General features: G+C 37.4%; 1 protein-coding gene across 4 annotated transcripts in view; it reads right to left on the reverse strand.

The window, feature by feature from the left end:
* Positions 1-15,697, reverse strand: part of TOX3 (TOX high mobility group box family member 3) — a 111,387-nt gene that overhangs the window by 72,387 nt on the left and 23,303 nt on the right. For 2 of the 4 annotated variants that reach the window (NM_001146188.2, XM_047433909.1), the window contains exon 2: positions 10,604-10,777. The exons of the other annotated variants lie outside the window; for them this stretch is intronic. In NM_001146188.2, the coding sequence (NP_001139660.1) occupies positions 10,604-10,678 (75 nt within the window). In that variant the 5' untranslated portion in view covers positions 10,679-10,777. The remainder of the gene's footprint in view (positions 1-10,603; positions 10,778-15,697) is intronic. 4 annotated transcript variants of the gene reach the window in all.

The following is a 15,697-nucleotide window of genomic DNA, read 5'->3' on the forward strand; positions in this document are numbered from 1 at the left end:
TATTACTATTATTTAAACATGCTCATAATTTAAATTCACATGTATAGCTATATATTATGTATTATAGATATAAAACAATTCAGAGGTATAAAATGCAATAAAAAAGTGTACAAGCCCAAATCTCTAGCATACTGCCAATCAAAAGATGATTGTTATTCATAAAGTATCTCAAAAAGGAACATTAGACTATTTCCAGAAATCCTGGTTGCTTTATTATTCATTTATTATTTATTACCCCAGGAAGATAAATTTTAGGAAGTTTCTACTTTGAGTGTCTTTCTTCTAAGTTGCAAATACAAATAAATGCTTATTTGGAATTATAACTATACTGGAAGCTCATGTTTCAAATAAAGCTATTTATATATAGCTTCATCATTGTTTGAATGCTTATCATTGCAGCCTCATTACAAAGAACATCTAAAAGATTTTTTTCCAACCTAAGAAAAAACAGTGCTATAATAAGGTATCTTACATTCATGGGTAAAAATACTCCTTTTAGAGAACATAATATAATTAGTTTCTATTCCAAGTCTGTCAGTGTGCACTGTTAACCTCTGACAATTATGCATGAACCTTTTAATTAGCATGTTATCTTTGGTGCAATTAATAACTTGTACTTCATGTTATAGGCAAATTAAAGTTTTCCCACTAAAACCAAATTCTTCAGCATAGTTCTAAAAGTGTTTTGCCATTTAAATGAAATTTTAACATTCAGACCTCTTGCTCCCAAAACACATAAGCCATTTTTTCCAAAGCTAGACAGCTTTTCTCTATCCACGTTCTTTCAAATATTTTACCTAAGACAGAGAATCTCATATTAAATTCAATTTCACACTTGCCAATCACACACGCCCACTCACAATTCCTCCAGATGATGCAATGTGGCCTAATGTGTATGCTTATGTATGTACATGTGCACACACAAACAGGCATAATGTTTAAATACATATAAACACATTCATTGCTAGGTATTGGTTAAAACAAACAGGCTTACAGCATACCAACTTATTAAACATAATGATTGATATTAGTAGTTTCATTAATGTAATTAACCTTTAGATTTGAATTATCAAGTTCAAAGTCTAAGACCGAGAGCAGTGGTTCTCAGGCCGGTACAATAATGGCAAGTCATGGTATTCAAGAGATGAGTCTAAAAGGCCCCTCAGTCCTGCCCCTACCAGAAACCAGAGATATTTGCTGCTGGTAATAATGAGGAGGGGGTTTCTAAGTACAAGATCAGCTCTATTCTTTCATTCCCTGGAAATCTGCCCTCGCCTCTGATACCTCAAAAAATATCTGTTGCATTTCCAAGGGAAAGAACAATGATATAAGCCTTGCTGTTAAAAAAAAAAAAAAAAATGCCACTACTTACAAGATAAAAGGCAAGGTGTTTTGTTTTTTTCCCCTTTCTCTTAGACTAGGCATGAATAATCTCAAAATATTTGTTTGTCAATAAAGTGATTAAAATAAAGTGATAGACAAGACATAATGATTAGAGAAATGAATCAAAGTAATATTTGGGACCAGGGTCTTACAAATCTAGAGTAAGTATGTTGAGCAGAAATAGATACTAAAAATTTACATTAGAACAAAATAAAAATGGATTTAGTAATGCTGGATTTAAATTGGAAATAGCTGTTTAAACTCATGACCTTAAAGAAAATTTGTCTTGGCCAACTGCGGTGGCTCACGCCTGTAATCCCAGCACTTTGGGAGGCCAAGGCAGGCAGATCACTTGAGGTCAGAAGTTTGAGACCAGCCTGGCCAACATGGTGAAATCCCATCTCTACTAAAAATACAAAAATTAGCTGGGCATGGTGGTACATGCCTGCAGTCCCAGCTGCTTGGGGCGCTGAGGCAGGAGAACCGCTTGAACCTGGGAGGTGGAGGTTGCAGTGAGCCGAGATGGGACCACTGCACTCCAGCCTGGGAAACAGACAGAGAAGGACCCTGTCTCAAAAAAAAAAAAAAAAAAAAAGAAGAAGAAGAAGAAGAAAAAGAAAATTTGTCTTCTGGCTCTCTCCCTAAAATGAACTAACTGGGGAATCATTTCTACCTTCCAGAAGCATTTGAATGGAACAGCTTGATATCATGCAGAGCACCTAAATTTTGGATGCCACTATGCTCTATCAAAGGAATCAGAGCTCCTCAGAGAATAGCTGACTCCATGTATTGGGTCATGAGAAAATCAAGATCCACTGGAACTTGTGGTTCCCAGAAAACAACAGTGCTTTCAAGAATGCCTGGGGGTAATGCTAAGGGGACCAAAGAGGACATTTAAAGGGACTCCCGCAGGTCATGCTGTGACCATCTGAGCATCGACATGACAATATGAATTTTAATTAATTAGAACAAGTGCATCCCATAAAAGCTGAGAGTCCAGGATACTCAAAGAGAAACAGTAAGGCTGGCTGGGCACGGTGACTCATGCCTGTAATCCCAGCACTTTGGGAGGCCGAGAAGGGTGGATCACGAGGTCAGGAGTTAGAGACCAGCCTGGCCAACATGGTGAAACCCTGTCTCTACTAAAAATACAAAAATTAGCTGGCTGTGGTGGCAAGCGCCTGTAATCCCAGCTACTCGGGAGGCTGAGGCAGGAAAATTGCTTAAACCTGGGAGGCGGAGGTTGCAGTGGGCCAAGATTGTGCCATTGCACTCCAGCTCTGGACAACAGAGCAAGACTCCATCTCGGGGCAGGAGAAGAAAAGGTAAGGCCTACTGAAAACACATTTGTATCATAATACCAAAGAAGAGTGACTATAAGATGTCCTAAAAATAGATGGTGAAGTATTTAAAGATTAGGATACTCTCTTTCTCCTGTGAAGTATGTGCTTCTTTATGAGGAAAGAATCAGCATTTTTCTTTTTGTGTGTTTGTAGGACAGAATGAATGCAGAGAATTCTAACCCAAATAGTTCCAGAAAAGTAGGAATATACCATGAAAGATGGCAGCAATAGTTTGAAGAGTGAGTCAGAAAACAAGTAGTTTGAGAACCGTTAGCCTATATTCTAATGACTTGAAAGTTTAGTGCATGGAGAAAAAATATTTAATGTAAAGTCATGTTTGCCTTTATAATTTCAAAGAATACTTAAAGCAGTATGGGAAATGCCTAAATGGACACATTCAGAACTCCTGAGGGAACGAGCAGAACACAGAGGGCAAGAGAACTTGGAATCAGAAATTCCACGTTCAAGCACCACGTTGCCTATTCCTCAACTTTAAGAATGATCAATCCTGCCATATCTGCCTCCCAGGGTAAGTCTGAGGAACTCTCCCTGTGGTTTATGTTTGTTCAACTGTATTTGCAGGTCCATCTTTAAGATAGTTTGCCCATGAAGATAGCAAGGTACTTTTTATGACCCTATCTCAAAATCAGGACATATTCTGGTAAAGACACATAAATATTGGCTCAAATGGATTTTGTTTTACCTGAATCAAAGGGATTTTGTTTTACCTGAATCAAAGGGATGAAAATTTGCCCCAGAAATAGTTGACCAAGTACCAGGAGGTTTCAAAGGAAAAACTAGGAAGCTGACAGATTGAATGTTCAAAATGATTCCAACCCAAAATGCTCTATTACCCAGAACTTGACTCCAGAGATAATCCAACCAACATGAACCTCTGTTTTCTATTTACTCAGAGCATAGTTGCTGCTCAATACATCCATTCATGCAACAAGTGCCATATTCATGATCCCATGCCAGGCACGTTCTATGTGCTTAAGATGCAGTTAGTGACAAAAGAGGCCAAAGTCCATGCCCTTGGTGACTGGGGACAGGCAAAGGTGGATGGCAATAAATAAGAATATTAGATGAAGGAAGTAAAATAAGACTATGTCACTTAAAATGACTTGGTGGGTAGCATACTTTTGAAAGGCTTCTCAGAAGAGGTGACATTTTTGAGCTGAGACACAAATGACAAGGAGCTGGCATTACAAAGAGCTGGGGAAAGAATTCCTTGCAGAAGAAAGAATCAATGGAAAAGCTCTGAGTTAGGAATGTGGCTGGCATGTTATTAAAAAAAAAGAAGAAGAAGAAAAGAAGGCTTAAACAAAGTGAATGCCAAGAAGTGTTAAGATGTGAGCTTGCAGGGGAAGGAAAGAGCTAGAGAACACGGTGTGAGTAACGTAAGCGAAAACAATAAATAATACCTTTCTTCACATCCAAAAGCTGATCAGATTTCTTTTTCCAATGCCAAAATACATGTAAGTACATAATGTCACGTTGCATACCACTGCGGTGGAACACAAGGAAAGAAGAGCTATAATGCAAACAAACAGCAACTGACTCTTTGGGGAGCTTAAGAAAAAAGAAGTCCAGGCACCAACACAAAAGGCTGAATAAATCACAACCTTACTCAAAGAACAATATTAAGGGCATAGGCTGTAGAAAAGGCAACTGGTTCAATGCTTCTCATGCCCTCTGAGAGCTATCACAATTAATGGCATCATCTTCCAAACAACAGGTAATACAATGTTACTTCTGTGTTATAGAAACATTTGGGTTATAACTGGAGATGTATGGTATATTCATCACAAAGATGATAATCATTTCCTCTTTGTGTATTCAATGGACAGAAATCTCTAAGACTAGGCCTCTGCTTCCCAAATATTCATGCAACTGGAACTGTTACAAGGGTAAAGGCATGAATTAAAATTATAGAAATCTAGATGAGATGGAAATTGAAAATACACTAAAACCTAAAGTCTCCTATAGTTAACATGGGATAATATATGCATAGTTCCTAACAGCGTACCTACAATCCTATAAGGGCTGAGTAAATGTTAGTTTGCTTTCCAAAGTAAAAGTGACCTGATTTTTCTGTGTTGCTCCCCCTTGAGATCTAAAGCTAAACCTCTACTGAATAAAAGCAGAGTGACTTACAATTGAGATAGGCCAATCTAAAACTGAAAAGTCTAAAATGTCAAACTTTTAAAATAAGGGGATGTTCACTGCTTATTTGACTCATTAAAAATAAAAATACCTAGTGATTGTGAATTTAAAACTGTAGACTTATGATTTGTGCATTTTATATATGTTATTCTTCAATTAGAAGTTCAAGAAATAATAATGGGAGGCCTGTATTAAACCATTTATATAAAAGTTTCTCAACCATAATGGAAAGATCAAGATGTCTAGCATAATTTGAAAGTATGTTTCTATTTGACAGAAACCTTGGCTTGGAAAAGTTAAACTCTAAATATTTGTACAGAAAGAAGTATTCTGGGTTTCATTCATTAAAAGTCATTGACCACTGCAGAAAAGGGAGAGCAAGAGATTTACATATATTTTTCTTGACGTTTTATATGCATTAGGCCTGGCAATGAACTTGAGGTAGGTATTACTATCTCCTTATTTCTAAGGGAATCAGAATACTGTAAACAAAGACATGGAGCTAAATAATGGAGTCAAATCCTGGCTTACTAGGCTCCACATCCATGTTGCTCCACTTATCAGACGGCCACCCAAACATACAAGTTTAACAAATTCCAAATTATTGGGGCCTAAATAGACACTTTTTTGTTTCAATATTGCCCTTCTTCCCTTGTATTCTGAATATCATGTCAACCATGAATCATAAGCCAATGCTTACAAATTTAACTTCACATTATGAGTTTTGAGCCCAACTGATGCCTAACCACTAAACCATTCATATAACACACTGAAAAGAAGCCATTTAAGAAATGAGAAAAATAGGTATTGTTTTCTCTGTATGGCTGTAAAAGCTGAGATAAGAACATTTTGGCAAGTTCAATAGAGCCGAAAGGCTTGTGAAGGCTATGGGAGGATGAGTATATTGGAAGAAGATCAGTAGGTCAAGAATCTAAGAAGAGCTATTTATGTGGGAGACAGGAATTACCTTGAAGGAAGAGCAGAGCCCCAGAAGAAGAAAAACAGAATATAACAGCTAACTATAAAAGGACCCAGGGCCAGGTGCGGTGGCTTAGGCCTGTAATCCCAGCACTTTGGGAGGCCAAGGCGGGTGGATCACGAGATCAGGAGATCAAGACCATCCTGGTTAACATGGTGAAACCTCGTCTCTACCACCAATATAAAAAATCAGCCGGGCATGGTGGCAGGCACCTGTAGTCCCAGCTACTTGGGAGGTTGAGGCAGGAGAATGGCATGAACCCGGGAGGTGGAGGTTGCAGTGAGCCAAGATGACAGCCACTGCACTCCATCCTGGACCACAGAGCGAGACTCCATCTCAAAAAAAAAAAAAAAAAAAAAAAAAAAGGACCCAAGAGAATATAAGTCCCATGAAAACAGAGCTCGAGTCTGTCTTGTTTTGTCACATTACCTATTTGATACTCAATATGTAATTTAATTTCTGAGTGAATAAATTAAGCAAATGAATAACTTAAAAGTATAGCTATGAATGTTAAAAAAAAAAAAAGAAAAAGAAAAAGAAAGAAAAAAGAAAAAATTAAGTGGGGAGAGGCATGCCTATGGCCTTGTCCTTGGTCCTGAATAACTGTTTGGCCAGATAGTATGGTTTCCTAACCCTAGCTCATGGTGTTCAAATTCTACTAGTTTTTCTTTGTTTGAACTTTCCATCTCCATGAAACTAAAAAGTATAATTTTTAAGCTGCAGAACAAATCATTCCATGTCTTATTTTCTGAGGTTACATAGCTGGCTGCATGTACTTTCAACAATTCTATCATGCTTTGACACTTAGAAATATTTTCCCTACCAGCTTTGGGAAGCTGGGCGGTTTGTGTTTACCATCCTCTCCTGATGTTACGCTTTAGTTTAAAAATAACAGTCATTATCACTCAATTATTCAGTGATCAAGTGTAACACCAGGTGCAAACAAAAGTTCTGAGAACACTGGAACATGCTCTTGTTACTGCAAACGATTTAAGAGCTTTGAATTTATGAAGCCAGTGATCATGTTACTCTAAATTAGAAGCAGGTAAAACAGAAGAATGGCATAAGCTAAATTCCTTCTTTTCGTTTCTTTACTTCCTTTTTCCTTTTAAGGATATCTATAGCAAACTATATTAGCTTTCTATTTTCTCCACTATTTGCACTAGCATTAATCAACATCCAAAAAGTGTACAAATTATTTTATCTTTATAATCAATCTTCTGAAATGCTAACTTGAAAATATAAACAGCACAATTACTTTTTTCTCTTTTCTTTCCCATTTGAAATGTGTGCTTGTGTGTGTGTGTGTGTGTGTATCTGAATCTGTACATATAAATCAAATACACACACATATACTTGTTTTAAAAAAATCCTCAAAGAATCAATCACATATTACAGAACTGAAGGAATATTGGAGTTCATCTGGTCCAAAGTGTTGGTATTGTAAAATCACTTTCAAATTTCACAGTTATCCAAATGGTAATGAATATTAATACCTAAGAAAATCAATCAAAGATTAACATTAAGACATTAGATTTTAAAAATCATTGCATTTAATATTTTTTATCCATTTTCAAATTTCAGAAACTAGGTCTATATTGTCCTATAGATCTAACAAGCACTATAAAAGAAAAATTACAAAGATTTCCCAATATACAGATAGACACATAAATGAAAACTTTTAATTGCAAGAGAAAGGGAACTGGATTCATCAGTTACATGCATTTAGAAAAATCTGTCTCATTCATCAGCAGCAATGAAGGAGAAAAGTTGGCAACAGAGCCAAGTATACTTACTTTCTAAGTAGCCAATAATTGGAGGCATTTAAAAATCTTTTTCACTAAAATATACATTTTTTGCTCAAACTCCAGATTTCTGACATTTCCTTATTCTACTGATAATGACTTCATGTGAGCAAAATGGAATGAAAGATTGAAAAAAATCAGATATATGCTACCCATAAAGGTTTATCAATATGATATATCTAAACATTTATGTACTTATTGGTTTAACTTAGTTGATATAAATGAATATGCATATCATACACATCATGTGAACAGAAGAGCAGATCAGTGGCTGGGGGTAGGGGATTAACTGCAAAGGGGTACAAGGAAACTTGTGGTGATGGAAATGTTCTATATTTATTATGTGGTGGTTGTTCACAACTGTACATGTTTGTCAAAACTTACCAATAGCACATTTAAAATTGGCAGATTTTATTGTATGTAACATATCTGACTCCCCGACCAAAAAAACCAAAACTCTGTTATACCATGACACCTAAAAATAATTCCTACAGAGACTTACCTAGAACATCATGGACACTCAAATATTAACCATGACCCAAGAAAACACTATAAAGTATGCATAAACAGTGATTCTCCTATAAAATCTACACACATACACAATATGTTAAGAAATGAGTACAAAAATTAGGGGAGCTACCATAATACATGGCAGAAACAGATTTCCTGCCCCCTGCCATAACTATCATTTACCAACATTCAATCGAATTTAAGAATTGGGGGAATTTCAGAGAGTATCCTAATTCACTTCCTAATTCACTTCCTCTAGATACCACCACTCAAAGATTCCCGTGGTTCCCAGAGCCTTCACTTGACATTCATACAACTTTGACCAGGAAAGAAGGGTGCGCCACCTCCACCTGTGCCTCTGCCTCTATACTAGAAAGGATTAGGCAGAGAAAGAGATTCAAATACTGGAAGGAAAAGAAGGTATTGGGAAGCCAGGATGGTTTGTTGGGGCAAAGTATTCTCTTGTCATACAGATGGCTCTCTTCTTGGTGGTGCCCCAGCCCACCCTCAAGGGTGTCTATAAGTAGGAGAAGAGAAAAGCACTAATGATGATTATAACATAATTAAATAATTTATGAAGGATAAAATATCAGAGTCATGAGAGCTCTGAAAGAATAGGTAGACTACATGCATCTTACCTACACATTGAGTATTAAAAATCCTAGCTGCCCTCTGCAGTGATGCCCCACCCAGAAGACCAATCCATTGGAACTATTGCAATCTGATCAGATTAAACACACCAAGGTCACTCTGAAAGTATGGAGGAAAACACCAAATTAAGAACAAAATAATACTTTTAAAATATAAACCAGTTTAAAAGTATCAAAAACGTTTCTATTTAGTCCATCTCTGATCTCTCTCCCAAACCTCTGACCGAAAGAGACACAGATTTTTGCTTCTAAAAACAAAGTATATTTTACCAACAGGATAATATAAGTGCTTTCAATTTTATCTAATAAAAAGTAGGGCAAAGTGAAAAACAGGTGCCTCTACAGATGGAGTATACTAAATACATGTAACACTTCTGATAATGTTGAACCACCCCCTCCCCTTTTGGAATTTGAAACATCCCGCATAAGATCTGCATTTTTCAAATATTGCTAAATATTTAGAGTCTAAAAAGATGAGATTCATTATTTTGCACAGTAACACATCTCCTAATAATATTTCAGGCCAGTTTTGAAGAACTGAAATTGATATCTTTTCCGTATATACTTAACCTCCTACAGATTTATTTGATTCTCAATAATTACTATTCTCTGGTAAAAGGCATATGTTATTACAGTACACTGCACTCCCACAAGCTGCCCATTCAGTGTATTTTAATAAATCTCTGCCAGAGCTGTATAAATTTGATCCTGTTTAAATTTAATAAGGATCAGAATATATCAAAGCACAAATACCCATGGGAGAAATAGATATTTTGCATAGTTATTGAATGGCCTATTCAGGGATACAATATGTAAGACCCAGACCATCAACCTTGAATTAAAAAGAGAGATTAATGCGTTCAAAGCCGGCTACTTGTTAAATAACATATGAAATTAGTATTTAATAAAACGTCTTCTCTATATTGTTGCTAATGGTATCCATCCTAGTACAGCTTTAATATCAATATTCTCATACAGAATTCTAATATTTACAAGAATTGTCAGCAATGTATTTCTTAAATATCTACATTATCTTGATAAAATGCAACACTGTATGGAACAGAGATGAAGAATACCTCATAGTAATTTGGAATTGTTGAGTTTAATGTTCATTTGAGTAATATAAATAAAAAGAACAACCACTTTGCTGGATATAGTTTTCACAGATTACAAGCCTGATGATCAATGAACTGCTTTCCCATTCTCTTCTGTAGCTGGATATGTTTCTGATTTGAATCGTATTTCAATAATCATTAATATCCTGTGGTTGAGCAAATCATTTCAATTTTTTCCAACCAAAATCTACACTTGAGTGTAAACACCAATGGCAATGATTAATGAGCCTGGATTTAGAGGCTGTTAGAAGATACAGGTAGCAAAATGTCAGGTATCAGGAAATCCTTCCTCATAGTAAGGACGACTCACAAGACAACTATTGCCAGGAAGATCAAAGGGAAATGGTATCATGCGAGGCATGTAGAACCAACCTGTTCTAGCGCTAAATGCACCAGACAGATGGATGGGCTAATCCGTCTTCAGTTATCTACAAATACTGCGGGGGCCACAAATTGTTTAAAGCCACTGAAACTGACATTCACTCATGCATGTTATATTTGAATCTACACCTCATTATTCCCAACCACTTTCATCTTATTCTTAAACTAGAAATGTAAGGGTTAGTGCATTCATCAGACAAACTGATAAAAGACACTATCTGGTTAGCCTGTCCAGATCCATTAGAAACCTCACCAGAAGATTAGGTCTTACTTTCAGATAGGTAGTTATCAGGTAATGAAGTCTCTCCTCAATGCGCCTGGCTCCCGAGCGAGGTTGGCACTTCATCCTCCACTACATCTTCTATGAGTATCTAAATCCTCTCTACCCTCTTCTGACTCTTCTGTCCTCTGCTGGATGGGGTTCAGTGAGAGAAATGCATCCTAGCTGAGCAGACGAAAAAAAAAACAACATGGTTGGGCAATCAGCTATTTGTCACACTGAGAAGACATCACTTCTTACCAAGCAAGAAGTAGTAGAATGGGCTGGGCGCAGTCGCTCACACCTGTAATCCCAGCACTTTGGGAGGCCAACACAGCAGGAGCTCTTGGGCCTGGGAGTTCAAGACCAACTTGGGCAATGTATTGAGAGCTTATCTCTACAAAAAAAAAATTAAAAAATTAGATGAGCAGGGTGGCACGCATCCACAGTCCCAGCTACTCAAGAGGTTGAGGTGGGAGGATTGCTTGAGCCTGGGAGGTCAAGGCTGCGGTGAGCACAGTGAGCACTGGTCACACCACTGCACTCCAGCCTGCGTGACAGAGCAAGACTCTGTCTCAAAAACAAAAAAAAAAAAAAAAGAAGAAGAAGAAGGAGAAGAAATAGTAGTAGATGAGCTACAAATACAATGCCCCAATGGCTGAAGGAAACTGAAGTATGGATGCAGATATGACATGTCCCATATATCTAATTTTATGAAATATGGGTATATAAAATCCAAACATAAAAATCAGATCCATAAGACTAATGAGTGTAGTTAAAATTTCCTGAAATAGTATTTCTAAATATATTTAAAAACTAGCATTGGTTGAACACCTTCAGTTTTCCAATAAAATTGTGTAATTTATTATGCTATAATTTTTCTTTAAAACTTTTATTTTAAAAGCCCAGGCTTGGCAGCCTGGCCAAGACTAGCACCTTATCTTACACAAAATACAGTGCTCTGCCTCTTAACAAATATAGATGTAACCACTGCCAGCTGTTTACAACAAGCAAAAGCTGGGAAGCCCTATTAGGTGTTATGTTTGTTCTGCTCGTGTTAATAGACTCATGTTCAATGTCAGCTCTTCTTCCTAGATCAGTGTCTGCCAAATTTCAGTTATTTGTATATCACTTTCATGCATTTTGCCATTTAAAGCAGGTCCACACTCTTCCTTATCCAAAACCTTAGGGCCAGATGTATTTTACAGTTGAAAGTTTTCAAGATTAGGAAAGTAATATGGTGCATATTCCCTTATTACATAATACCTCTAGTGGTCTGAGGCAGCACCCCATAGTCAAACATGTGGACATTTTTGTAGCAAAATGTCTGAATATTCACATAAAGATAAATACAGGAAAAAAAAGTTTCATGTGAATTCAGGTCAAGTTTTGATGCAAATGTGTAACCCTAAACATTTTTTTTAATTTGTTTTTCAGAGCATTTAGAATTTGGAATTATGGCTAAGGTATAGTATTGTGAGCCTTTATTTTTCTTTAATTCATGCATTTGCATAAAAATTAATATGCTTTTTTGTTAACAAAAGGACACTTTATTTCATACATGGAAAACTGGTATTCCTTTCTATAAATAGCACATAACTATCAAAATAAATACAATAAATACAAAATAATCTATTTAATTCTAGCAAACCAAAGCTACAGAAGGGTTGTAACTGGGTCCTGTATGATCTCCTCCGTCTCTCCCTCTCTCTCTCTTCCCCTATAATGTGTCTCAATCTCTCTGCTAAAAAAGAGATTAGCAAGTATTAGGTGTTAAAGACATATTCGCACCAAACTGAGATTTTCTCACTGATGTAATAAGAAAGCCTGAAAGGAAAATGGAAATGCTTTCTATGTAATTCAATATGGTTTAAAAACATATCCTTGTAGCTAAAAATCAAGCTACAGCCTACCAATGGTAGAAGCCCAGTACCACCTGCCTAGCTTCCATCTATCCTATGCCAACCAGCACACCATGTTTGCTCATGTCCCTGGCCAGTTCTACCTTCTCTGCCAGATATTTGGAAACATACAAGGGTTGTAGTATTCAGCTGGAAAAAAAAAAAGTTCAGTGGTATAAGACCACAGGGGTCCAGGAAGTGCTTCATTTTACATAAAGCCCATTTTACTTTATGCCCCTTAAATATGTTTTGCCTTTGTGCATGGCCATCTGTGCCGATGACACTGTTACCACTAGAGTACCTAAATATGAGTGCAGTGATCAACTGTGCGTACACAGCTTCAGTGGATGCAAGTATGATCTCTCCGATGATCCTGGGTCCCTTCAGAGGCCTTTGGATGGTTCTGAGCAGTAGAACTCAAACTGTGATCCCAGGAAGGCAGCATCAGCATCACCTAGCAACTTGTTAGAAATGCAAATTCTTGGGCCCTACCCCAGACCTACTGAATCAGAAACTCTGGGTGTGGAGCGGCAACATGGATTCTAACAAGGCGTTCAGGTGACTCTCATGCTCAGTGAAGTTTGAAAAGCCTGTGGGTAACGAGCACAGTCTCTGGAACCTGCCTGTTGATTTGAAGGAATCCCAGATCAATCACCTCCTCACCTGAGACTTTGAACAAGTTATTTAATTTCAGCCATGCTTCCATTTCCGTTTCTGTTAACTGGGACATTAATAGTACTTACCTTATAGAGTCGTGGAGGATTAAATTTATTAATACAGATAGAGTACTTAGAATAGTTCCTGAAAATACTGCACAAATATCAATAGTATTCCATGTAAGCTACATAAAACCTTTACTTACAGCTAAATAATAGTATTTTCTCCAAATAATAAAGACAATTAATAACTACAAGCTTCATTTGATGCTCAGAATGAGGTTCATAGGCTTTGTCTCCTAATAAAGTGGAAGTGTGGAACTTCAGCAGAGACAGCCAAATGTCAGGCCACAGGCCAGATGCAGACTTTAGACAGTTTCCAAATAGTGCTAACATTTAAAAATGTTAAAATATCACAGAAATCAAAATTTCTGGTTCCCCTTGAAAAATCAGGACCTCAGACAACACTACTCTAGGATTCCCTAGAGCTACTGGCAGGCAGAGTGGAGGAGCAACCACCTCCTTTGAAGAAGTCTCGTCTCTTGCAGTCTCACACAAATGGGCAGTTCAGTTGCAGTCATGTACCATCTTCCTCACACCTATGACACAGGGGTTTGTGAGCCCTGTCCTTCTGCAAACTCTAAGGCCTCTAAGTGTGTCCTCTGTGTGCAGGACAGGGTGACAGCTGTCCCACTGGGAAAGCAAGGGAGTTCCCAAGACACTGGTCTTTCATGCAACAACAGGGAGAGTCCCAGGAAACCTGGGAAAAAATGGTCACCCTATCTGTGCAGATGGTTCCCAAGTCTACAATCCAAGTGTCTCTCCTATCTGGTCCCTGTTTCCAAGTACCATGAGAAGCATTTTTTTGTTTGTTTGTTTTTTGTTTTTTGCGAATCCCACTTTTGCCTCAAAACACACTTTCCTTCACGTTTATCATGTGCTATTCAAGCACTTCATGGATGAAGGCCTCCTCTATAGCAGGCACAGTCCTGGACACTGGAGATGAAGCAACGAACAAAAGAGACAGAAATCTCTGCCTTCGCCAGGTTATGTTCTAGCATGGAGGAGAGAGACAATGAATAAATAAGGCAGAGGGAATGTTGAATGGTAGTAAGTGCCTGGAGAAAACGGAAGCAAGGCAGGAGGACGGAGAGTATCAGGGAAAGCAATGAGGTGCCCATCAAAGTCCTCCCTGAGAAAAGGGACATCTGAGGAAAGACTTGAAGAGAATGAACAATTGAGCCATGCAAATATCTGATGCAACGGTATTTGGGGCAGAGGAAAACAGGACCTGGGCCTTGAGGTGGGCGTGTGCCAGGGGTTTCCAAGTGATCAAGAAGAGCGGGGTATGTGGTGGGAGGGAAGTCAGACAGGCCTTGATGAGGTCAAGGAAATAATGTCCACCACTGAGTTAAGACCAGGCTTTCCTCTGAATGAATCAGGGAGCCATTGGAGAGCTCCAAGCAGAGGAGTCACAGGGACCTAGCTTACTTATTTTTCTCAAATAGCCATCGACATCTAGTTGTTTTGACTTGTTATTCAAGGAGGTCAGTCCAAGGAAACTAGATTCCCCACCTTCTATAATTTCAGCATCCCCTCTCATTGAAGACAGGAACCACGTTTAACATCAATGAGTCCTGTGGGAATAAAGACTGACAGGGAACCAAACAGCAAAAGGGAAGACTTACCTCAGTTTATTTATGGGGATTTATATACTGCAAACTAATACTCTATTTCACTGGAATATTTGTGTTTATGAAGACATCCTGATGAACGAGACTTTTTTTTTCAGTTCATGAAATTTTCACCATAAAAGAACCCTGAATTCCTATTTTGAAATCCATTGTGCCATTTTTATTCTGCCTGTATTTGAATATAGCATCAATATTTAACTACTCATTAAATGAATTGTGACTTTTATAGTGAAAATGTCAGTCTTTGCAGTTCATTAGATTCATTTAAAGCATAGCTGCTTGATATTTTTTTTCCCTGGAAGAATAAAAGAACTGTGAATTGAAGACATAAACTTTAAATTTAAGCATGTGTTTTCTTCAAAATTAACATTCAGGATCTGTAACATTATTCATGAGATTGAGGGGCTGTTTGCATCTTTCTGCATTTACTTAGTGACTGTCGTCTTTTATGGAGTATAGAGCTGTTTATCACAGTTGGATATGACCAGTGGAATGTCACTGTGGACATTAAGATGCCATAAGCTATTATGAATCTCTACAATTCTGCATGTAGTATTAAAAACATTATCTTGAACTATGGCATCAGAAAAAATAAACCCTGGAAGATGTCAAATTTAATAACTCACTGAATCCAATAGGGCCTAAAAGTGGTCTATTTGAGTTTTAAAAAATAATTCTGATAAGACTTTAGACTGCCTGAAAGAAAATGATATATTAAAAATGGAATTTGAGAAATGAATTCAAATGAATTTTTTAGATGTTTGCAATTCTTTCTTCCTAAAATTACTATGATTTACATGTATGGAGCAGTAAATGCAAATGATTTCCAATCACCACGGGTACGTGTACTCAATT

The sequence above is a fragment of the Homo sapiens genome, chromosome 16 (genome assembly GCF_000001405.40).
Source record: "Homo sapiens chromosome 16, GRCh38.p14 Primary Assembly".
In the NCBI taxonomy this organism is placed as follows: domain Eukaryota; kingdom Metazoa; phylum Chordata; class Mammalia; order Primates; family Hominidae; genus Homo; species Homo sapiens.